At 39.6% G+C, this 26,297-nt stretch overlaps 1 protein-coding gene, 1 non-coding gene and 1 pseudogene across 3 annotated transcripts in view, besides 3 other annotated features; 1 reads left to right on the top strand and 2 right to left on the bottom strand.

Moving 5' to 3' along the window:
- CERS6 (ceramide synthase 6) overlaps positions 1 to 26,297 on the bottom strand; it is a 318,863-nt gene that overhangs the window by 168,574 nt on the left and 123,992 nt on the right. The window lies entirely within an intron of this gene.
- Positions 65 to 171, top strand: RNU6-766P (RNA, U6 small nuclear 766, pseudogene; annotated as a pseudogene).
- Positions 2,597 to 3,098: an enhancer, noted in NCBI's record as "NANOG hESC enhancer chr2:169459973-169460474 (GRCh37/hg19 assembly coordinates)". NCBI's record gives its function as "activates a minimal SCP1, AML or CMV promoter by ChIP-STARR-seq in primed H9 embryonic stem cells {active_cell/tissue: H9 hESC(primed)}" and the evidence as "EXISTENCE:reporter gene assay evidence [ECO:0000049][PMID:30033119]".
- Positions 4,728 to 4,797: a silencer, noted in NCBI's record as "silent region_12081". NCBI's record gives its function as "represses an Ori minimal core promoter by ATAC-STARR-seq in GM12878 lymphoblastoid cells {active_cell/tissue: GM12878}" and the evidence as "EXISTENCE:reporter gene assay evidence [ECO:0000049][PMID:35858748]".
- Positions 4,888 to 4,937: an enhancer, noted in NCBI's record as "active region_16735". NCBI's record gives its function as "activates an Ori minimal core promoter by ATAC-STARR-seq in GM12878 lymphoblastoid cells {active_cell/tissue: GM12878}" and the evidence as "EXISTENCE:reporter gene assay evidence [ECO:0000049][PMID:35858748]".
- On the bottom strand, positions 23,543 to 23,618 carry MIR4774 (microRNA 4774). The gene has a single exon (NR_039933.1). It is a non-coding gene; the product is annotated as a microRNA 4774 (primary transcript).

Genomic DNA, 26,297 nt, shown 5'->3' with positions numbered 1-26,297 from the left:
GTCTCAACTGAGACAAGGCTAATTCCTTCTCCCTATGAGCCTGTAAAATAAAAAACAACTTAGTGTGCTCACTTTGGCAGCAAATATACTAAAACAGGAAGGATCCAGAGAACATTAGCATGGCCCCTGCACAAGGATGAGACACAAACTCTTGAACCATTCCATACTTAAAACCAACAACAACAAAAACAAGTTAGTTACTTCCAAGATACAATGGTGGTATAGGCATTGGGTAAATACTTCCATTCCAAAAGGGAGAAATTAGCCAAAAGAAAGGGGATACAGGCCCTATACAAGTCTGAAACCCAGGAGGGCAGTCATTAAATCTTAAAGCTCCAAAATAATCTCCTTTGACACCATGTCTCACATCCAGGGCACACTGGTGTAAGAAGTTGGTTCCCCAGGCCTTCCTTGGGCAGCTCCACCCCTTGTGGCTTTGCAGGGCTCAGTCCCCATAGTTGCTCTCCAGGGCTGGCAGTGAGCACTGCAGCTTTTCCAGGTGCAGGGTCCAAGCTGCTGGTGGATCTACCATTTTGGGTCTGGAGGACAGTGGCCCTCTTCTCACAGTAATGCTAGGCAGTGCCCCAGTGGGGACTCTGTGTGGGGGCTCTAACCCCACATTTCCCCTCTGCACTGCCCTAGTACAGGTTCTCCATGAGGGCTCTGTCCCTGCAGCAGGCTTCTGCCTGGACATCCAGGCTTTTCTATACATCCTCTGAAATCTAGGTGGAGGCCCCCAAGCCTTAACTCTTACACTCTGTGCACCTGCAGGCTTAACACCAAGAGGAAGCTACCAAGGCTTATGACTGGCAGCCCTGAAGCAACATCTCAAGCTGTACCTGGGCCCCTTTGAGCCATGGCTGGAGCAGCTGGGATGTAGGGAGCAGTGTCCCAAGGCAGGGAAGCAGGGTCCTGGGCCTAGCCCAGGAAACCATTCTTCCACTCCTAGGACTCTTGGTCTGTGATGGGAGGGGGTGCCATGAATGCCTCTGAGGCCTTCTCCCCATGGTCTTGGCTGTTAGCACTAGGCTCCTCTTTATCTATGCAAATTTCTGCAGCCTGCTTGAATCCCTCCCCTGAATATGGGCTTTTCTTTTCTACCACATGGCCAGGCTGCAAATTTTCCAAACTCTTATGCTCTGCTTCCCTTTTAAATATTACGTAAGTTCCAATTGGATATCATTTCTTTGCTCACACATATGAGCACAGGATGTTAGAAGCAGCCAGGCTACATCTTGAATGCTTTGCTGCTTAGAAATTTCTTCCACCACATACCCTAAACCATCACTCTCAAGTTCAAAGTTCCACAGATGCCTAGCAGCATCACAATGCCTCAAAGTTCTTTGCTAAAGAATAACAAAAGTGACCTTTGCTCCAGTTCCCAATAAGTTCCTCATATCCGTCTGAGACTTCATCAGTTTGGCCATCTTTGTCCATATCACTATCAGCATTTGGATCACAACCATTCAACAAATCTCTAGGAAGTTCCAAACTTTCCTCATCTTCCTGTGACTTGTTGAACTGGGTAATGGGCAGACATTGGAACAGTCTGGAGGGCTTCTTCTGAGAAGCCCATTACCCAATTCCAAAGCTGCTTCCACATTTTCAGGTATTTTTTATATCAATACCCCACTCTCAGTACCAATTTTCTGCATTAGTCCATTCTCACATGGCTCTAAAGAAATACCTGAGACTGAGTAATTTATAAAGAAAAGAGGTTTAATTGGCTCATGGTTCTACAGGCTGTACAGGAAGCACAGTGGCTGCTACTTCTGGGGAGACCTCAAAAAACTTACTATCATGGCAGAAGGCAAAGGGGAAGCAGGCACATCTTACGTGGCCAAAGCAGGAGCGAGAGAGAGAGAGGGGAGGTGCCACATACTCCATACTCTTAAACAACCAGATCTCATGAGAACTCACTGTAGCAATGACAGTACCAAGGAGGGATGATGTTAAACCATGAGAAACTGTCCCCAGGATTCGGTCACCTCCCCAGGCCCCACTTCCAGCATTGAGAATTACATTTCAACATGAGATTTGGCTGGGGACATAGATCCAAACCACATCACCCTTCTTATTTCACAAGTCATACAAAAACTGGCAGCAGGCCAGATTTGATTGACTGACCCTAGTTTACCAACCCCTGACCTACACACACACACACACACACGTATACAACTGCTCAACTTCAATCTGTCTCTGTCACACACATACCCTACCCTACAAATATTTTTGAACACACTTTCCTGTGGCAATGTAGAATTATACCCTTGCAAAAGTTGTGTTTTTGAAAAGCATAACCTTTCAAGTAGCTAAAACCTACAGTGGAAATTGCTTATAATTTTCAAGTCAGCCAGGAAATAGGGTTAAGGGAAAAGGACTAAAATCAAGTATATCTTAATTAAGGATGGCTCCAAGGAATGTAAAAATATTTAAATCTTTGTTTTGTCTTCTCTGACAGATTGAGAATGACTCCCTCAAACACATTTTTCCTTCTAACACGTTTTCATTTTAATATCAAATCATATCTAATAACAGTTCTCCATAATTCCACTGCAGAAGTAAACCAAAAATTTTTATTGTTTCACTACTGATCTCAGGCTCTAGGTCAATAAGATGTGGAGATTCAGAGCTAGAGACAGACTTGGATATAGACTACGGACTAGAGAGAACATAATCAGCCCACAAACTATGCTCAACTGCCTAACTCCATTTCTTACACAAACCTGGCTTTAGGACCAAGGGGCTCCTCAGCAGACTCTTTAAGCTCCTAACAGCCATGTTTCTTCAGGCATTAGGCCAACAATTGTAGCATAGTTTTAGGTTTTAAAGACATTGCATCATGGAAGCTATAATTACAATCAGGTCTCCCACTGGCAGCTGTGAGAGAACAGGACCTTCCAGGAGGCTGAGCTACACCTGTAGCCGCATCTGAAAGATGTTAAAAGAGCATTGGAATGCCTGCTGGGAAGGCTACAGCCAATGCACAATAAATGGGCTTCGGTGAAATCTGGTACGGCCAGTTTAATCATGAACATTAAAATCTCTTGTAAAATCCAGGCATTATTAAGGTAAATCATCCTTTGATTTTTCAATTGTTTCAGAATCAATGCCCAGATGTTCATCTACCTACATACCTATTGATAGTCATTCTCTGTAGTTATTTCCCATAAAGGCTGCAAATATTCACTGGGTTGCCTAGCAGCTCTTTCAGATCCCTCACTTACCTCCCTCACTGCACAAGTAGCTATCTAAGTCACTCAGGGTTATTCCATGGGGCTGCTGGAAAGGGAAATGTTCAAATATGAAAGGAGAGTCCCATTTCTTCCCATCACCAATGAGGCCTTGGGGCATATACCACTTCTCTTTTTACAAAATGACAAGATACTCAGCAAAAATATCATGGTGCTACAAACATCACCTGACATTTAAAGGGCAAACCCAAGGAGCAGCAACTGAGTAATAAAGAAATCAGGAACTCTGAGCTTCTGTTTCTCCTTCCATGGAATGAAAGATCATTGTTACAGGCTCACTACCCAGGGATGCTGATAATTGAGCTATGTAGAGGCAGATAATCTACACATTTCACAAAATGTTAAGTTCATGGAACAAATTAGCTGCAACATGTTTCATGCTGGTTTGGAGACTCCATCAGTGCCCCCAAAGAATTTCCCTGAAATGATGGCACTACAGGAACCTGTATTTTTGAATGGTGACCTGTTCAGGACTGAGAGGCTGGGGCTGGGAATAAAACACTGTCCAAGAACCAAAGAGTGGCTACTCAGGTCAAACCCCAAACCCCATTCCTTTATGCATACACAAATAACCACCAACCTGAACTTCGCTTCATCAGATTTTTCCCTGTTTTTGATGTCAAATCATGAGGTTAATGAATTCAAGTTCATTTATACCCACTGACCACTCTGCATGCATAGATACTTATTATTCTTCTCTTTCCCTGGGAGCAAACTACATATCTACATTATTCATTTAAACTCTCTGAATACTAACACTGCATAATTCTGGCTGCTCCAAAATGTAATTTAACTACGTGTTCCTGTGTAAAAAGTCTATCCACATAGGTAGGTGGATCTGGGTGATTTTTTAAAATTTATTAAAGCTATAAAGACTTGGATTAAAGCTATTGCTTCTATCAATGGGCCAACATCATTAAAGTACTTATACATTTAGCAAAAGTACTAAAATTATAGACAGAGTCCTATACCAGGCAAATATTTCATGTATCTTTATCTTAGTTGCACTCAGACATATTTTTTAAATACTTATATGTTCCTTAATTTTTGCTAAACTGATTTTTAATATCACTTGATCTGAAAAAAATACTGAAAATCAATTCCCTTACATCTTCTAAAAGAGAGAAAGAGAAAAAAGAATCGGCCAATGCTTATTTGTGCAATACCCTTGCTATCTGCAACCCTCACTTCTTCTATTACTGCTGAAATACGTGTACAGCATAGTGACTGCCTCTCAGAACCCTGTCTAAATTAACTTTATTGACTTGGTGTTTCATTTAAGGTGTTTATGATTTTTGTGGTTTCAAAGGGCAGTAAATTTTACTTCATCTGTGCTTCCTTTTCTAGAAGTCATGTAAAAATATTCTACTTCTGTATTTTCAAGTTCAACACTGCATGCAAATATAAGATCTATGAATAAAATTTGTTTTTTAAGGGTATTAAGATAAGGCCAAGAGGGCTGGGCGAGGTGGCTCATGCCTGTAATCTCAGCACTATGGGAGGCTGGGGTGGGCGGATCACCTGATGTCAGGAGTTCAAGAACAACATGGCCAACATGGTGAAACCCTATCTCTACTAAAAATACAAAAATTAGCCAGGCATGGTGGCACACGCCTGTAGTCCCAGGTACTCGAGAGGCTGAGGCAGAAGAACTGCTTGAACCCAGGATGTGGAGGTTGCAGTGAGCCAAGATCATACCACTACACTCCAGCCTGGGCGACAGAGCGAGACTGTCTCAAAAAAAAAAAAAGATAAGGCCAAGAAACTGGCGTCCACCTGAGAATGTTCAACATTCTCCTCTATGAAATGAGATGGCTGGACTATGAAAACACTAGTGCTAGAAACTGTTTAATCAGAATTCATCATTGGTCTTTGTCTTCAGAAAGCAGAGGTCCACAAACAACCAGCAGATGAGCATGCAATACTATTGATAAATGCAAATTAAGTTTAATTTAAATCATGAGTTAACATCACAGAGAGAAACAGATCTGTTGCACTGAGAGTCACAATTATACAGGGATAGGTTCAAAATTGTTTCCCAGATTAGGCCGTGACCTTATGTGGGAGACTGTGTCAACATTTTTTATGGAATTCTAGGTGGTAAAAGAAAGCCACCTGTTATGTCAGCTGACAATGTATATTTTTATCTACTTTTGTGAAATGGTGCACATCTATCCAATTTGCCTGGTTGAATCACAGGGCGTAGGCTGAAGTGTAATAAGTACTGAGTGGTGGGGAGTGTGAGGAAACTGACAGAGAAGCCTTGGATTCTATGGTAATCATTCTGCATTGGCTCTAGAGGGTAGTGGACATCAACCCATGAGGTCTGTTAGGATCTAATACTTTTAGATGCACTGAAAATATTTTGTAGTTTATTGGTAAATAGAAATCAGGTGGTGGTTAACTTTGCTCAATACCATAGAAAAGTAGGAACTAGACTTGGCTACCACTTACATGTGACCATTACCAAGGCACTATTAGATCAATTTAATTCAATCCTAAGATTTAATGAGTACAAGCAATTGCATTAGATACCATAGGAAATGGAAAGATGCCTTTAAGGAATGTTTACAGTCTAGAATCTCCAGTCAAGAAATGAGATGGAATAAATATACAAATAACCACAACTCAGGAAAACACACAAGGTAAATATTATCAAGGTGTCTTTAGGTTTCAGAGTGAGTGAGATGCCAAGGGGTTGAACTGCAGAAACACTTCTAGGTTAAGGGGATATATGAAAAGGGTCTGGGGCAAGGATATAGATTTTCAGGGATTTTCCTCTTGCTTTAAGAGAAGTATGGCAGGCCGGGCGTGGTGGCTCACGCCTGTAATCCCAGCACTTTTGGAGGGCGAGGCGGGCAGATCATTAGGTCAGGAGATCGAGACCATCCTGGCTAACAGGGTGAAACCCCGTCTCTACTAAAAATACAAAAAATTAGCCAGGTGTGGTGGTGGGTGCCTGTAGTCCCAGCTACTCAGGAGGCTGTGGCTGGAGAATGGCATGAACCTGGGAGGCGGAGCTTGCAGTGAGCCAAGATCACACCACTGCACTCCAGCCTGGGCGACAGAGCCAGACTCCGATTAAAAAAAAAAAAAGAGAGAGAGAGAGAGAGAGAAATATGGTAGTTTACAGCATAATAAGTTGGATAGTTTACCCACGACTAAGCAGACACTACTGTCACCTATAATGTTCATGGAGAGAAAGGAAAGGAGGAAGGGGGAGGGAAACCAGGATATATTAGAGCCTTCAGCGTGCAAGTTACAAATGCTGCTATAACAACCCAAGGAGGTAAGCATCACTGTATCACTGTAACCATATCATCAGTCAAATGACTCTTAGGTTTATTAAGGGGAAGTCAGATTTTACCCCCAGGTGATTCTGACATCAAAGGCCATTCTGGTCTTATGCTTACTACTAGTGTATCAACCTCCTTGAAGGCAAATAGCTCATCTCTACATCACCAGCCCTACTTCCTCTTTATATTTGGAATTCCATAAATATTTGTGACATTTAAATGTCCACAGTGAAGCTCAAGACAATATTCTTAATAAATTAGGTGCTTTATAACCTGGAAGGATTGATAGATGGTCCTCAAACTATATATATAACCTCAAGCATATATAAAACCAACATAAAGCTCTCAAATGTTACACAGATCTCAAATGAATGTCAACAAATGATCTCTTTCCTGAAGTTATCTCTCAAGAACAATGTTTTCTAATCGGGGTTACTAACCTACTTAAATTCAGAAGTCTTTCAGGACAAGATAATAAACCCTAGCACTCACAGTTGGATTTACTCCGACAATGTTCGTTTTAAAATGAGTTGATATTTCCTTTGTTCTTTAAGTGTACCTGCATTCTTATTTTGGGCCAGAGAAAAAATGCAAATAGAAAAATACAGAAAGGATAAGAATTTACTGCCCTTCTTCAAAAAGAAACAAACTATGGGAAGCATTTCTAGGATAATCACCTCAAAAATATACTCATAACTATGTTTTAGATGTCCCTGGAAGGAAAAGGAGTGAGAAATAGGATGTGAGAGGATTGGGGGGAGAAAAGAACCACACAGAGCACAACTGTACCAAGAATTTTCCTCCACCCAGAGAAGCAGCCTATTTTCCCATGCTCTGCAAGGTAACCTGAGTCAATTTGCTTAACCTTTCAAAGCAACATTTCCTTAAATGTTGAAAACAGAGTTGGCAGAAGAGTAGGTTATGCCTCTAATGCCCTAGCCTACATCGCAGAATTGTTGTGAAGATGGAATTAAACAATGCTCACGAAAGTTCCTTGAAAATCACAGAGCTACACAAATGTCAAGTGCTGTTATTACCACAGCCTGCTTCCTCTCCTGAGCCTCTTCTGACATGTGTTTCTCTTGCTAGAGAGGCAGAAAAGGTCTCCAGAGAGGTGAATTAGTTGTGACCATGTTCCAGTAAGATTCTTCTATACCTACTCTATCCAAACTTACCAGATTCTAAAAAGAAAATGTTCATATTAATTGTTCTATGTTGTATCACCGCAATATTTGACACCACTTTAAACAAATTAAGATTAAAAAAAGATTAAGGGATAGCTCTATATTGCAGAAGTGAAGATTGAAGACAATCTTGTAAGCTACGTTATTAAATTTTCTTTCTGTACTGGTTGGGGAATTGGGACCTTTTTTTTCACTAATCCTGTAGTTTTATTAGATATGATGGCATTATATTCTTGGATTGCCACATATTAATCATTTAGGGTTTACGAGTACCATGTGATAATCATTAGGCTATTTAAATTTCCCATATTCCAGTAAACCACTATTTTTTTGCCCCTTGCCATTATTTTTTTTTACCATCAAAAATATATAGGAATGCATAACAAGGAAATAAATAATTTGGCCAGTAGATGTGGAAAAGAAAAAAAAAAGAAAACTCTCTGGTTAATTACTATGCCACGTATAAACTGAAGATATGTTTTCTCTTCCCCCCAAAAACGAGGTTGCCATATATTCAAGTCATTACAGTCTCTTATTTATAGACTACTCTCTCAAGCACTTTATTTAGAACAAAGAAGTATTCCTTGAAGACACTCAAATCTGAAACAACTTCAATCAATGCCAGTTTGAGATGCTCAAGAAGGTCAGCTGATGGAAGCAGCTATTCTAAGGGAGCAAAGAAATTTAACAAATACTTAAGGCATTATCTCTAGGGTGGTGACTTCATAATTGTTTGTATTAGATATCACTGTAAACAAACCTTTTAAAGATCCCTCTTAAGGGGAGGACAGAAAAGAGTTACACGTGGAAGATCCTCAACATACACCTATAGATAAAGGACAAAAAAAAGTCTGAAAGAGAGGCAAAGAGTGCTAAGGCCTGAGTTAACATTTACAGAAATAACTTCTTACATGGATTCCAAACACATTAAAGTCTATGCAATTTAGACGGGAGGGAAGAGAAGGCACTCTGGCACACTGTCCTAGATGACTCTGAGGTAGCTCCTCTGACAAAGACATGATGTCAAAGGTGCAAATACAGGCTTTGAATAAATTATTTCATGAAAGTAAATAGGAAAAGCATTATGTCTAAATAAACATATTAATGTTATTAATATACATATCAATTGTTTCATCTCTAAAACTTTACATATTCAAGGTGGCCCCAGAATATTTTGTATCATTGGGAAACTGGAGGATGTGTCTTATAGCTAAGGGCACCCTACCTTCAACCATCTATGGTTATCTGGGAATTGAAAAAAGTAGAAGCTTGTATGGCAGATGCACCTGACGGCAATATCTTAAGCATACCCTGAGAATGACCCTGTAAGGCAGACACACCTGAATGTGTCTTCAGAGTTCTGAGCTAAGGAATCCGGGAGTGGTCATCCGACAGATTCATTACTTATTTATGTGGAACATCTGAACCCCTGGCCTGTCCATGGAATGAGAGTGTGCAGGGGAAAGATCCTCTTTGTTTTGGATTAAGTGGAGGTTGCCAGGCAGAGGTTGTTAGAGGGTGCTTTAAATATTATATAAATTGTATACTTTTTACAAGCATGCAATTTATATAATAAATAATGCTCTACTGTCAAGCCTGCTGCCACCAGACTGTCCCTGTATGTAAGTTCCCTCCAATAAAACCCTATGTCTTGTTCACTGGCTCCAGGTCTCTTCTTCAGCCTCAAACCTGGCGCCATCCCTACTGAAGTCAATAGGGGCCTGACACGACAAAGCTAAACTCATAGCAGTGTGAAAGTGAGTCAGAGATTAGTCAGAATATTGACTTCAATGTTCACCAATTGGAGTTCAAGAAGCAGGAAAGACGCCATGAACACAGTATTGTATTTTTAGAGAGAATAGGTAGAGTATATGCACTTTTGCTACAATAAAAGGATTCTTGAATTCAGTTTATATTAGAGCAAACAAAAAGTTTCATGAACTCTAAGAGCATTTGCTCTTAACTCCAAATTTTGTGCATCAACAAAGGGATGGGAGCCGGGCATGGTGGTTCACACCTGTAATTCCAGCACTTTGGGACGCCAAGCGTTCATGATCAGCCTGGCCAACATGGTGAAACCCCATCTCTATTAAAAACACCAACAAATTTGCCGGGTATGGTGGCACGCACCTGTAATCCCAGCTACTCGGGAAGCTGAGGCAGGAGAACCACTTGAACCAGGGAGGTGGAAGTTACAGTGAGCCAAGATTGCACTACTACACTCTAGTTTGGATGATAGAGTGAGACTCAGTCTCAAAAAAAAAAAAAAAAGGGGGGGGGATGGGGCCCTGAAACAATGATTTAATGAATGAAGGCAAGTAAAAAAGCCACTGTACTGAATATAAGCTTTTCTTTTAATCTCACATTTTCCCACTCATGTTACGTTCTGCCAAAGCCATTCATCTACATTTCCCTGAACAATTTCTGGAAGGAGGCTGGGAAGCCCAGTAAAAACTACACCAAGAAGACAACAACCCCTCCCCCCAATCCCCCGCCCACACACATAATCTGGTCTCCACCCTATTGAGGTCCCATTCCACATGACCCTGTGATCAGCAATAAACTTGGTACCCTCAATAAGATCCAAAACCAAAGCCACTCATCTTATAACCACAGAACCTCTTCTCTTTGTGGTTCATGACTAGGATCCAAGTCTACTAGCCAGATGCATAAACATTTACAAACAAATATTGAATTTTGGCAGTTTAATGATAATTTTTATTTTTATCCTTTTTTTTTTTTTTGAGACAGGGTCTCGCTTTGTTGCCCAGGCTGGTCTTGAACTCCTGGGCTCACATGATCCTCCTGCCTTGGCCTCCCAAAGTGCTGGAATTACAGGCGTGAGCCACCACGCCTGGCCTAATAATAATTTTTAACGTCTTGCCAATTTGGGCACCTTTCCTTTACATCTGGAAGAAAATATGAAGTCCGCTTAAGTCTACTTACATTGAACAATAAGGTCTGCCAAAAAGAAAAAAAACATACAATTCTTCTTTTTGATCTCCACAAATCTTAAATAACTATGTAAACAGCAACATAACTTTTTTCCAATTATAAGGCAATATTCATGTGAGTCAAACATTAGATGTTATTTGATGTCTGTATAAAGACAAGGTAAAGATGATATCAATTCAAACCATTACAATTTGCTGCAATACATCTGAATGTATAATGAAAATGTTAAATGAGAGATACTCTTCGTAAGTACCATCAGCCTTAAATTTAAGTTTACATTTTAATGCTGTCACTAAAATCAGCCAATTAAAATTGGTATTATACATAATCCAATGTAAGGAGATTCAGGATTAAAAAAGAGAATAAAGAGATAAAGGAATGAATGCAATTGTGGTATTTATACCTTTTCTTTCAATCATTGATTTTTACACTCCCCAAAGTGTCTCAACATTCAATCTAACCTTGGTCCAAGAACTCTCAAGCAAAAACCACATGAAAGGGAAGTGTGGGCTAAAAGCTCAGACTAAACAATAAATAATACTTTCTTCAGACTGAAAATATTCTCCCAAACATCTCACCATCTGAAAGTCAGGAGCTGGGAGTGGAATTATTCTGTAGCACTGCATAGGATACATGTGCTCCTTGTCCTCTTATGTAATGCTTCCCCCAGTAAAAGCCACAGAAATTGGGCCCTGCAAACTTTTTTAAAAGCAACCATGAACTGCTTTGAGTGTTAGGGTGCTTCTGTCTCTTCAAGACAGAGGGCTAAACTCCAATAGAGGACAATGGTCACTTTCCTTCATGATGCCTTCCTGTACCTAAGAGTCAGCTGCAAGCCAGTGCACCTGCATCCTCACAGCCCTGAAACAGCACTAGGCAATTCTCTTAATCTCAAAGAAAGGAAGTGTATTCTTCAGATTCACTTTGAATCAATCAGCAAACCACCATACATTCACTGAACACAGCCCGAATACACAGGCAGTCTAGCTGGGGGAAAAACAAACATTAAGATACATGAAACAAGTAGAGAATAATTCTAAAGAGTGGCTAATGGCTAAAATTAGCAGTGCTCATTATTAGTTCCACAGGGGCTCAGGGAAGAATCTCTGGAGAGATTCACGTGAGAAAGAATAGTAGAAAGGGCTCATGGTAATAACATGACCTGAGTTGGGCTTTGAAGGGTAAGCAGGACTTACACTGGGGTGGAAAGGAGGTATCCCAGAGACTAGACAATGCTTGGGGCAGGCAGGCATGTAGTAAATATTTTTTAAATGAATAATTTTTTTTGAGACAGGGTCTCACTCTGTCATTGAGGCTGGAGTGCAGTGGCATGATCACAGCTCACCACAACCTCAACCTCCCAGGCTCAACCAATCCTCCTGCCTCAGTCTCCCTAGTAACTGGGACCACAGGCACATGCCACCATGCCCGGCTAATTTATTTGTTTTGGTAGAGACAGGAGTCTCCCTATGTTGCACAGGCTGGTCTCAAACTCCTGGGCTCAAGCAATCCACCTGCCTTAGCCTCCCAAAGTGCTAGGATTACAGGCATGAACCCATGAATGAATTTAACCATTATAACAAGTATCTTCATTTGATGAATGAGTCACTCGACAAAGAAGCACCAAGTAATTTACATAAGATACTAATAATAAAGGACTCAGGAAGTTTTATAAACTCTGCTTTAGGAATAACTCTTATAAGTATAATAATAGTATTTTCACAAAGCATAATTACTCTTAATGGGAAAGTATTCATGATGTTATCTGTATATGAAATGAAATAATCATGAATATTAACATAAGCCCAAAGATACAGGATCTAAAATAATTTTGAAAGTTTTTAAATAAAACAAAAACATTACATAGTTGGTAAAAGTTGAAAGTACAACCAAAACCAATGTAGCAATACCATTCCTGGTGCTTGTTGTCACACAAAACAGAGTAACAGAGTATTCATGGTCATGGTTAAGGCTGGTTCAAGTTTGCCTGGCAACAGGCATTACTGTGCTAAGACAAAGGAGACTTAGTTTAGGGTTCCCATGAAACACTAGAAACTTTATGCAAACTTAGGAGATAAATACAGGTTATTCTAGGAAAAATATTTTATTAGGTTCTAAAAGGAAACTAGAACCTTTGAAAAAGTTAAGACGTTTTATAAAGTTTTATACTATTAAAAAAGGGGGAAGAAATTTCCAGAATCTCCTGACCTGTCAAAAATTCTTCACAGTTAAACGGCTTATAACAAGTGACAGAGAATGGGCTAATATCTTCTATTATGTGCACAGAAAGACTACTATCTCAACAGGGAGAAAACAAACAAAACAAAACAAAACAAAACAAAACACACAGAAACTCAAAAGTTGGAAAGAGGCAAGTGATGATCATGACAGCAGGTACATGATGCCTCTTTTATCCCCTTATTTAAGTCACTTTGCCACTTACGGGATTAATCAAGAAAACTGCGGTTTCCAAATTGAGAGTACTTGCAGACTGGGCATTTTAATTCCCACCAGGTACTCATGACAAAAAAGCTGTGGTCAAATGATGTGGCAGGCAGAGCAATGGCCCCAATATATCCACATCCTAATCTCCAGAACCTGTAAGCATATTACCTTACACGGTCAAAGAGGCTTTGCTGGTGTGATTAAATTTAAAATTTTGAGATGTGATATTATCCCGATGTTTCGGGTGAACCCAATGTAATCACAGAAGTTCTTATAAGGGAAAAAAGGAGGCAACAGAATTAGAGGAAATAGGAGTGTCATAGAGAGAAAAAGATTGGAAGATGTTATGCTGCTAGCTTTCAAAGTGGAGGAAGGGTCAAGAAGCCCAGGTGGACTCTAGATTAAACTAGAAGAGGCCAGGGAACAAACTCTCCTGTAAAGTAATACAGCTTCTGCAGAAGTAACACAGCTAGGTTGACACCCTGAGTTTATCCCAGTGAAACCACTTGGACTCCTGGCCCCTAGAATGGTAAGAGAATATATTTGTGTTATTTTAAGCCACTAAGTTTGTAGTCATTTGTTGTTACAGCAGTAGGAACTAATATACATAATAACACCCAAAAAGGGCCACTTTCATGAAGCTGTTATTAGAGGAATGGGTATTTTTTGTCATAATATTGATGGTCTCCCAATCCCTTCTTCCAACTCACAGCAGCGTAACAGCTGAGGAAAATCCACCCCTCCACCCTGCTGCACAGGGGTAAATGCCAATTAGTCACTGGGCACAGTGAGCTTCCACTGTTCCTGAAATTGCTCCTCCCCACTGCCCCCAGCCTTTCATTCCTGCTAATTCTGCAGGGCACCACACCAACAGCCTGCCTCCACCCCATGCTGCATGCTGCTGGTTAACCTGCTTGATTTAATCTCCTATCAAATACCCTTCCTGCTCAAAACCCTCAGTGACTGCCATTGCTGCCCCGGTTAAGGTTCTGCTGCTGGCTTCCAGAGCCCTCCCCACTTGGCCCCATCTGCTTCTCTAGCCTCACCTCCCTTTCCCACGTCCTGAGCTCCAGCCAGTGGGGCAGCTCAGGCTCTCCAGTGCTTTCCTGGGCTGTGCCTCTGCCCACAGCTGGAAGAGTCTTTCCATTCACCATTTTCTGCTACTCAAAATTCAGTCCACTCTCTCCAGTCTTTCTGAAACACCACCTCCTCCACTAAGCTCACATATCCTTAAAAACATTGTTCACTCACCCCATTTGAAGCCCTATGGCTTTTGGTAAGTCAAGTACATGTAATAATACACATTCCTCCCATTTGGGGCATTTATTTTATTCTCATCCCCCCTCCTAAATCCAAAGTTCCATCAGAATTGTCTTATATGCAATTCTTTGACACTCAGTTGAAAGTCGGCAACACAACAAAATGAAGAGTTGGGCACCCTGAGGCCCAATTATGAAAAGAATGCCTCAATCCTGCTATTCCCCGCTCTGATCTATTTGGTATCCCAGCATTGAGGGTCCATGCGGAGATTCACTCTATTCCATTAGAAAGGGATTGTACTTCTCCCTCCACAGTCCCCTTCTCTAAAATCTAACGAAGTTTGAGAAGGTCCAGGTTACTCTTCCTTTTGAATTATACTCCTCAGAAATCAAGAATTCCGTACTTTAAAATATTTCTAGAATCTGTTTTTATGCATCTTTATAACAATCAAATTAAACCAAGGAACACCCCGAAGGTGAAAGAAAGTCTTTTGCTAGGGCACTGCAAGAGCCAATAGTTAAAATAAAATTTAAATGTCAGTGAAAAAGGAAGCTCTACTATGAAAAACAACACATTTTCTTCATTGAAGGTTTTAGTGAATAAATAATGTTGACTTGAAGATTAAGTCTAATGTTAAAACTAATGATTGTGTAAACATTAGTTACTCAGTATTTCAAGGGTGAGACACACATTGTATGCTAGATAGCACTATTAACCCAAGTTATTTAAAAGTATGATTTTGTTTAAATGCCAGTAATCTCAATTTGGCTATCAAACTCTCATTCTGTCAGTCATTTTCTGCAGCTAACAGTCTAGGGACAACATGAAACTTCATGATGTGGATGGTGAAGCCATTTGGGCTATCTTCTAGAGACAAAGAGAAATAGCACTAACAATACTATGTAGAGAATTTTGAATAATTTAAAAGTCATCTTTATCTTTTTAAGAAGTTTAGTTATTTTAATCCAGTAATTAAATTACTTGGACTCTATTACAAGGATAGTCCAGAATACAGGGGGAAAATATACACAGAGGTGTTTACAGCCCTATGACATTTATAATAATAAAAGACATATTAAGACTAGTCCTAGATAATATTATAATAGTTAAATAAACCTTGGGACCATCCAATAGATGCAATATTATATAGCTATTGAAGCAAGCATATACAAAGAGATGGCACTAACATGGGGTGTTAATGCCATACGAGGCAGCAAGATGCAAATCCCACCTGTCTCTCTATAAGTAGAGAACATGACCAATTATCTGGATTCAGTGTTTGTGGTAATTCACCTTCCTAGCTATGGGCTTTGGGCACGTTATTCCAATTCTCTATTTCTCAGTTTCCTTGTCTATAAAATGAGAACAAAAACAGAACCTACCACAGATGGGCATTGTAAAGATCACACAAGTTAATCAATGTATTAATAGGATGCTTAATCCAATGTCCACCACTAATAGTACACATTTAAGTGTAGTGCTTTACAGGAGACAAAATTGTATACGTAACATGACCCCACAACTATATTAAAAAACAAAATTATACATTGAAAAATGCTTTCACTAATTATACTAAAATAGTCTTACTTATTTTCTAAAATTCTCTAACTTTTATATACTCTTACATAATGGTGGTAAAAAAGCAATTTTACTTTGAAACTTCACTTCCAAGTGGCTTACATTAACAGGAATATCATGTCCCTGACATACACTAGAATTACCCACAATGTATATTTATAAATACATACATACATACGTGTATATAAGTCTGATAGTTTATTTCAAATATCGTTTTTATTTGGTAGTAATTTTTCTCTGATAACATCGTTTATATGATAGCCTAATTTAAATTTGTTACTGAACCTAAGTTTAAAATGGCCAAAAGATCAAATTAAAGCACAGCCTTTAAACCAAAGGAGAGGCTTCACTCTTCTATTTCTTTTAGCTATGACCATATCCTCTCCTAGTTGCCCAGGTGAAAGGAATTTCACAGCAAGAACACACTTGGTAATCTGGACAAATGCAGTGGGTCAAACATCTAGCTGATATGTTGGGTTCCCTGAAGCAGGCTATGCCCAGCTGAAACCTCTCTTATCAGTCAACTGAGCACTTCTGGAGTCTTCTCTCAGGTACTGTACTGGTTTAACGAATTTCAGGCAGCCAAGGACTTTTGTCTAGCTAGGTCTTCATTAACTCATGGTCTGTGTGAGTCAGCTTTTCAGTCGAGGCTCAAACATAAAAAAAGTTCATTGCCTTTTTACCCAGAAATACCATTTCTTGGAATTTATTCTGAAAAAGGAACTATAAAATATGCACATAAGAATGTTCCTTGAAGCCCTCTTTCTAATGGTTATACCAATAAAGCAATAATTAGCAAGTTAAATTTCTGCCAAATGCCATCACAAGTTAGAATGAGGTACATCTATATGTAGTGGACTAGAAAGACATCTTTAATAAATTAAGCAGAGTAGAAGAAGTAGTATTAGAACAAAATGTAAAGCATGAACTCTTTAAAATTATATTTAAAAAAATACATGTGAAAACTAGAAATACACCCAACATTTGGAAGGAAAGACACCAACATTTTCAGAGATTAATTAGAAGGCATGCATGGTATTGGAACTGGGTAAAAAAGCTCACTTGCTTTCACAAACATTTCTTTATTGTTTGAACTTGCTGCATTGTTATATAACGAGGGAGGCAGTCAGAGAAGGGGAGTAGGAGCTCAGATCCCAGAACCATGCTACCTGACTCAAATACCAGCTCCAATTCTTAGCAGCCAACACCTTTATACCTGTTTCCTCTTCTTTCAAATGGAGATAGCACGACCTATCTACCTCTTATAATTTAACAGATGAAATAAACTAGTACATTTAAAATAAAGCCCGAAACTCATACCTATTAGGATGTCTATTACAAAAGAAAGAGAGAAGGAAGGAAGGAAGGAAAAAAACAAAGTAAAAGGTACGGGCAAGAATGTACAGAAATTGGAACCCTTGTTTACTGTTGCTGGGAATGCAAAATGGTGCAGCTTCTATGAAAAATATGGTGGTTCTTGAAAAAGTTAAACAGAATTTCCATATGATGCAGCAATCCCACTTCTATATACCCAAAAGAACTAAGCAGGGGCTGTGCGTGGTGGCCCACAACTGTAGTCCTAGCACTTTGGGAGGCCAAGGCAGGCAGACTGCCTGAGCTCAGGAGTTGGAGACCAGCCTGGGCAACATGGCAAAACCCTGTCTCTACTAAAGATACAAAAAAATGGCCAGGCGTGGTGGCACATGCCTGTAGTCCCAGCTCCTCAGGAGGCTGAGGCAGAAGAATTGCTTGAACCCGGGAGGTGGAGGTTGCAGTGAGTGAGATCCCACCATTTCATAATAGAACAAGACTCTGTCTCAAACAAACAAACAAACAAAAGAACTGAAAGCAGGGTCTTGAACAACTATTTGTACATCCAGGTTCATAAGAGGATTATTCATAGTAGCCAAGAGGTGGAAGCAACCCAAGTGCCCATCAACAAATAAATGCATAAACAAAATGTGGTATATACATACAATGGAATATTCAGCCTATAAGAAGGAAATTCTGACACCAAAACATGGGTGAACCTTGAGGACATTATGCTAAGTGAAATAAGGCAGTTACAAAAGGACAAAAACGGTGTGATTCCACTTATATAAAGTACTTACGGTCATTAAATTCATAGAAACAAAGTAGAGTGGGGGTTATGAGGGATCTGGGAGAGGGAAAAAATGGGAAATTAAGTGTTTAATGGGTATAAAATTTCAGTTTTGCAAGATAAAAAGAGTTCTAGAGATGGATGGTGGTGATGGTTGCATTGTACAACACAGTGAATGTACGCAGAAGCCACTGAATTGTACACTTAAAAATGGGTAAGACGGTAAGTTTTATGCTATGTCTATTTTGCCACAATTAAAAATACAAAAGGCCAGGTGCAGTGGCTCTTGCCTGTAATCCCAACATTTTGGAAGGCTGAGACAGGAGGAATACTTAAGGCCAGGAGGTCGATACTAGCATGGGCAACATAGAGAGAGATCCCATCTCTACCAAAAAAAAAAAAAAAAATTAGCCAGGTATGGTGGCATACATCTTCAGTCTGAGCTGAGGCCGGAGGATCACTGAGCCCAGAAGGTCGAGGCTGCAGTGAGCTATAACTGCGCCACTGCATTCCAGCCTGGACAACAAGAGTGAAACACTGTCTGTAAAATATAATGAAATAATAAAGCACCTAGAGCAGTACTTGCCCAGAGCAGGAGCGCAATAAATTTTGGCAAGAATAATAATGTTATACTACTATATCATTATGATGTTCTACTTGTTAAAATGCAATTTAAGAAAATCATACATTAAAATGAAAAGCCCTCAACTTCTTTAAAAACTTACTATATTATATATTAATCATATTATATATTAATATGTTAATTGTATTACATATTAATCACACCAACTTTGCCTGTATACCACATGCCTTCACTGAAGCATTTTTTTTCTCAAACTACTCCTTCCAGAAAGGCAAAGACGGTTTTTCACAGCCAGGAGCTGACACTTAGCAACTACCTCTGGCCAAAGGAAACAGAGAAGAAAAAGCACTTAACACAATCATCACTTGACATTGAGGCAGAGGCCAAGAAAACCTTCATTACACAAAGGCCCTTGGCAAGGAGCAGCACTGCTCTGCGCTTATTTTCAACTCCATCTCTGGCTCCTGAATTGGTGTAACCAACACATCATCAAAATAATCATGTCATACCACTTGGTATGCTACCCTGTTCAGTAACTACCACAGGATATGATCTCCTCAGGTCAGCCCTGGTCATTTGTAACACAATTTCATGAAATCCACAGAGGGGCAAATCTCAAAGTGTAATATGCATCTGAGAATGAAGAAACCAGACATAATGATTCCATTTCAATAAACTTTTATTTTGTTTTACTTTATATTTTATTTTATTTTATATTTATTTATTTTTGAGACAGTCTTGCTCTATCGCTCAGCCCAGCTGCACTGGCACAATCTTGGCTCATTGTAATCTCTGCCTCCCAGGTTCAAGGGACTCTCATGCCTCAGCTCCCCTACCCACCGCATAGCTGGGACTACAGGCGCACACCAACATGCCCAGCTAATTTTTGTATTTTTAGTAGAGACAGGGTTTCACCATGTTGGCCAGGCTGGTCTCAAACTCCTGACCTCAGGTAATCCGCCCACCTCAGCATCCCAAAGTGTTGGAATTACCAGCGTGAGCCACCATGCCTGACCTCAATAAACATTTATTAAGGACCCCTAGTATATATCAAGGAATGTGCCAAGAAATTTAACACTTTATATTATTTAAATCTCACAATGGCCCTCTGAAATATGTAACATTCTTCTCACTTTTTATGACAGGAAATTTGCTTAAAAAATTAAGGGATTTCCTCAGGGACATGTGCTTATCAGGGGTACAGACAGAATTCAAGCCTGAATTTCAGAACCATAAAGCCAATGACAACGTGTGAAACTTATGGACAATAAAATGAAAAAATGGACCCCAAACAATCATTTTATCTATGTGTCTAGTGTTGGGTAACTCCACAGTTAAAATATTTCCAATAAACACAGTCTTTGCTATATTTGAAGATCGGACAGCCTTCTGAAACTTCCCTCAAGGTACATAAGGAGGAAAAACAATAAAATGCACACCTCTTATATATACTTGGGCAAAATCTAATTTGCAATTATCTTCATTTCCACTGAAAATAACATGGCTTCCACCAAAAAAAAAATGAGGCATATTTTATACAAATGCTTTCAAAGGGTGTTTTATAATGGGCAAAGGAAAGAAACGTTGTTTTAGTACTGATTTTCTTTAATTGTAAATCAAAGTGTCATCTTCGACTATCTAAAAGACAGCACTACACATGGTAAGCTTCCTTTTTCCTTTTTTTTTTTTTTAAAGGTATCTTACCAGCCCCGGCAATATCACAAAACTCCATCTCTAAAAAAAAAATACAAAAATTAGCCAGGTGTGGTGGTGCAAGCCTGTAGTCCCAGCTAACTGGGAGGCTGAGATGGGAGGATCACTTGAGCCTGGGAGGTCAAGGCTGCAGTGAGCCGTGATTATGCCACTGTACTCCAGCTGGGGTGACAGAGTAAGACCCTGTCTCAAAAAACTAAAGTATCTTAACCTGCCATTAGCAAGGATGGCACTCAAGATAACGTATATTGCAGAATCTAAATGCCCTAGTTGTGCAACATTTCCCTCCCTAGTTGTGCAACATTTGAACTTAAAGAAATCAGGTTGAAATGATGCCCGGAAGGGGAAAGATGTCACACAGGGAGACGTGGCCCAAGATTTGTGAAGGACCAGCCCACCTATTTTTCTGATGGACTTCTACTCTGTCTTTATGAGCTTCTGGTTCTTCCTTCTGGCATATCCATGATCCACATTCTTCCCATTTATTTCAAACACTTTTCTTTTTTCCTCAAACCCTAGGGTCAGAATGTAATCATAACAATTAGAAAACTTCAGTGGTGCTAGGTAACATCTATGGAGCATCTGCCACACCACAGGCATGGTGAAAAGACCTTTCCCTATATGACCTGCCTTCCACCTATGTTGTACATGAAGAAAGGGAGTCTTACTGAGGCAGAATTGGCTTGGCCAACATCACACATCTGGTAAGCAGAAGGCTTTAGTTCAGATCTGTCTGACTTCGTAGCCTGAGCATTTAATCATTAGACCATACTTTTCAGGGAAGAGACAGGGATAGCAGAAGAACGTAGAACATGAGCTCCTTGGGGAATGACACCATGCCTTGTCCATCACTGTCTCCTGCACCTATTGCCCAGCATATGATATGTGCTTGATGAATACTGTTAGATGAATGAGTGAAGGAAGGAGGGTGACCAAGAATCTGGTCTTAAACTCATTCTATCTGGGCCCAGGCAGGTGCTGTTCATTCAGCAGCCTGTAAGCATGAATCTCCACTTCTATCAATGGCTGGGCCCCAGAGAATCAGTGAGTTGTGTGTTTCCTGACATGGGTCAAGGAACACAAACCATTTGCATGCTCAGTACCACTTCAACTGGAAGAATCAACCACCTGTTATAGCTCAGCAAATATGGAGTTGGCATTTCTTTTTGTTAAATCCTTAAGACAGGAGATGAAATCCTGCTAACTCTTTCTGCCATCTCTTTCAATGAGAGCTCAAAAATTGACAATGAGTGCAGCCATAAATCCAGAGATAATATTCACTTACATATTTTCTACTTCCTCCAACCATTTCACAGGAAACTAATCCAAGCCTTGCTCTTAACTACTTTGTGTCATAAAACAAAAAACAAACAAAAAACCCCACAATTTCTTGCAGCCATTTTTGTTTGTTGATGTCTAGAGTTAAAAAAGGAATTTGCCCCAAATTCTCCATATCAAGTTGCCAATGAGTACCTCTCAATTTCAGTGAAAGGATGCCTTGAAGTATGTGAATAGATTTTAATTCAAATAGTGTTATCAAACTCCAAGTAATTGGTGCCCCACTATTATCTGTTTTGACAGAGTCGTTGGGATAAACTGATGTTAGGGAAAAGGTCTACAGTGAAACAGGGAAATTGTGTAAAAATAAATTAGGGAATGTGTGGCCAAATTTAGTCTCAGTGAGACCCACAGAAGCTGTGTGTATGTGCACATACAGTTTGGTCATGGCTTACTAATCATGACAGCATTATGTCTGTCTTTCTCTCTCTCACACATATTACACAAACAGATTCCACTGTGAAGTTTTTCTATGTAGATAGATATTACTGAAAAACCAACAGCAAAAGGTTTGTTAATTTCCACAGAGGGGTATCACGCAAACAGCAAAAACATGGGAATTGAGAAACCTAAAAAACATTTTTCTTTTAAAGATACAGTTTCACTGCAGCTCACTGGCAGTATTCATTATGTCTGTGACTCAGCTATAAAAAAGGAATGAGCAATACCTGCATCTTTGGAGAAAGTTAATCTTAAAAGCAGCTTTGATTACTTAGGAAATTACTTAGGAAGCATAGGCATTAGGGCCAGTCACACACAGATCCTGACTCTCACTACCTATCGTGGGTAAACTGCTTAACCTTTTGAAAATTAGGGTAAAATCATCTACCCAATGAGAGTGTTGGAAGGATTAAATAAGATGACTAAGGAAGCGATCTTGGTACATTCTAAGTATTCAGTACATGTCAGTACATGTCAGATGCTGTCATGATGGCAAAAGGCCAGGTCATGATGGCAAAAGGCCATTACAATAATCGCCAAACAGAGAATATTCACAAGGCCTCGAAAAGCAGCCAGCACAGAGTCAGCATTCATTTTATTGAATGATAGAATGAATTCCATATCCATGGATGACAAATAATGATACATCAGAGCAGGAAGGCAAATAAAATTACAGGAATAAATGGACCCTGTAGCCTTTCAACTAACTACAAACTCCAGACAACCTAGTCCTCTAAAGGTCCTGCTTCATGCTCATTATCTTCTTCTCATAGTTCAAACAACCCTGACAATATTAAGGGATGGCATTTTAAAATTATTCTCTAAAAGCCTAATGACTGGTTTGGTCTAAGACCCAGGGAGGCCACCCAAGAGGCCTGAGCTCATAGCATGTGGTTAAACTGCAATCTACTCCTCAAATTCGAAAGAGAAAGCAAATGAAAAAGAAGCAAGGAAAGCTAAAAAGATTCTGTAGTTGGCTGAAAAATGATCTATAGTTAGGCTTTGCCCCTATCCAAATCAGAGTGGGGCTGTTTCTTGAATGTCAGAACTGAAGTGTCTTCTTCTCTCACACTTTTCTTAGCTCATTTCCCAATCACTTTCTTGGTGGAGTCTCTCTTTGCCAAAAGGACATGCCCGTCAATCAACACACACTACTTATTTGTACCTGTCTCGACGCCCTCCCCATCACTATCTATTCCTACACCACACTGTCATTAGTGCATATTTCTAAGGTTCAAAATTTTACAAGATTCTTGTCCTATAAGAGCGATTTTCTGCTTAACACTACCAAATTGATCAGTCTGTGCTGTGTATATCAACCATTCCCTCAAGCCAGCCAAATTTGATTAAATGTACATTTGTCTATGCATTATTTTGTAACTGCAAGCCTTGCCTATGTTGTTTTCTGGCACATGTTAGGCAATTGTCTGTTTGTCAGTTATTACCTACTACATACCAGACAACAATATAGGCTAATCTATAGCTTTCATGTCTTTCAAAGGCCATGCCCATCAAGGCCCCTCTATACCATAACTGTACACTGTGGGTGCTTGGGAAGGATGGCTATTTCACTGGCTCACTATGAAATCACCAGCTATTTCACTAGCTCACTGTGAATCCAGGCACCTAAAGCTGTTGTATGTATGCAATTTCAGTAAACTGCAGCAGTCAAATTTGGGAATTGCACTGGACACAAGGTCAAACTGACCTTGTTTAACTTCACATCAATATTAAAATAATGCATCACGTAAAATAAAGGTGTATGAAAATTCTAGTTTTCAAAATCCTGACTGACCACATTTGAAACCTTATGTTTGCATAGCACGCGTTTTTTTTTCAGTACTAGATGATAGTTATTAAATGATTTAAGGTCTTATTAATACTTCCTTTCCCAGACACAGCAGGCTAGGCTAGTCAGACAAACCCCTTGCTCTCTATTTAAAACAACTAAACTTCTCAACTTAAAAAATATCCTTAAAAGCATCAGAGGTGACAAGATAGTAAGAAGCTCTCAGGATAAAAATCTAAGGGAAACTAGGAACCCAGAGACCTAAGTAGAACACCACAGCTCCTTCTGGCCCAAAGGCATCTCCACCATGAGTTAATCTGGGTTTCTGTTTTGGCAGCCCCTGGAGGAAAGGGGGAAGAATCTAGGCCCAGTGCCTACCTAATGTGGAGGATATTATAGAAGACACTGCGCATATTAAGCTGGGACCCCAAGATATAACATCCATAGGATGAGTGTGTGCCATACATAAACCCTACCTCTACCCCCAATTCTGGGAAACTTCAGGGATGGTTGCCTTGACACTAAGCAGAAGAAGAGAAAAAGGGAAAGGAAAATAACACCATGAGAAGTTGTGGTAAGAGACCCACAACTGTGATCATGACCAAGGTGGTTACGGTCATGGGGAGTTAGCCCAGGTGGGCCTGGGAGTCATGGTAAGTCATGTGCTTGGTCTGGGGTGATCCTGGGCTGGGGTATCGTCCATGCCGGACAGGAGCATAAGCATAAACTCTCTGAGAGAATCATCATCTTCCTAGGCCTCAAGATTCTCCCTCCTTAATATTTCCTAAGAACAAAGAGTAGTACACAATTAAGCACACAAGGAAAAACAGGTTCCATGAATCAGAATCAGAAACACACCCGCAAATACTGGAACTGTCAAATACAGATTGTAAAACAACTATGCTTCCCCTATGTAAAAAAATAAAAGACCACATAAAAAGTATCTGCAAAGAACAGGAAACTATGAAAACTGAACAAGCAGGTTTTTAAAAGATGAAACAGAACTTTTATAAATAAAAATATATATTAACCAAACTAAAAACTAGAAGGAGAAGATAATAAACAGAAATAGTTAAAAGGGAATTAGTGATTTGAAAGATATGTCAGATGACATCTAACATATGGCCAGAGAAACAGAAACAATGAACAACATGGAAGGGAAGTTAGAACTCATGAGGGTAGTGAGAGGATCTAAAATACATTTAACTGTAATTACAGAAAACGAAAATAGTGAGAGTAGAGAAGCAGCAATATTTAAAGAAGTAATGACTGAGAATTTTCCAGAACTGATAAAGATAGCAATTGGGCCAGGCATGGTGGCTCACGCCTGTAATCCCAGCACTTTGGGAGGCCAAAGCAGGTGGATCACTACAGGTCAGCAGTTCAAGACCAGCATGACCAACATGGTGAAACACTGTCTCTACTAAAAATATAAAAGTTAGCCAGGTGTAGTGGCACTCACCTGTAATCCCAGCTACTTGGGAAGCTGAGGCAGGAGAATTGCTTGAGCCTGGGAGGCAGAGGTTGCAGTGAGCCAAGATTGCACCACTGCACTCCAGCCTGGGTGACAGAGTAAGACTCCATCTCAAAAAAAAAAAAAAGATAGCAATCCATAGATTCATAGATTTAAGAAGGCCCAGAGAATCTCGAGAGGAATACATATATTTTTAATTGCAATACAGAAAGACAAAGACTAAGGGGAAAATCTTGAAGCCTACAGGGATAAAAAGGGCATTATCTTCAAAGGAATGACAGAGTGACTATGGCTTCTCTGTGGCAAGCATGTAAGCAAGAAGACAGTGCGATGATATAATCATTATACTGAAAGGAAATAACTGCTAGACTAGAATTCTATACTCAGAGAAAAAATCTTCAAGAATGAGGAAGAAATAAACTCATTTTCAGACAACAAAAACCAAGAGATTTCATCTCTAGCAGGCCTCAAGGATCTTCAGACAAAAATTAAAGTGATTCCAAATGGAAGGTCTGGGTACAAAAATGAATTAAAAACAAAAAAAGTGGTAAATATGTGTGCAAATCTTTAAAAAATTGTCTCTGTTGTTTAAGGTTAATAATGTCTCTAAGATTAAAAATACAGAATAAAAGGCATGACAAAAGTAACTTAAGTCAGAAGAGGGAACATGGAAATAAAATACTCTAAACACCTTGGATTTTCTAGGAGGGTAAAAGAGGGGTCAACATTGGATTTTGATAACTTAGGTATACCCGTTGTAATTTCTAGGATAACCACCAAAATAACTAAAAATTGAGTCTATAATTTCAAAACTAAAAGGGAAAATGGAATCAAGTCAAGAAAAGGGAGAGAAAGAACATAAAATAGGCAAAAATAGAAAGCACAA

Source organism: Homo sapiens, chromosome 2 (assembly GCF_000001405.40).
Source record: "Homo sapiens chromosome 2, GRCh38.p14 Primary Assembly".
Classification (NCBI taxonomy): domain Eukaryota; kingdom Metazoa; phylum Chordata; class Mammalia; order Primates; family Hominidae; genus Homo; species Homo sapiens.
The sequence above is the reverse complement of the archived record's forward strand: the minus strand, read 5'-3'. Positions and strand labels throughout refer to the sequence as shown.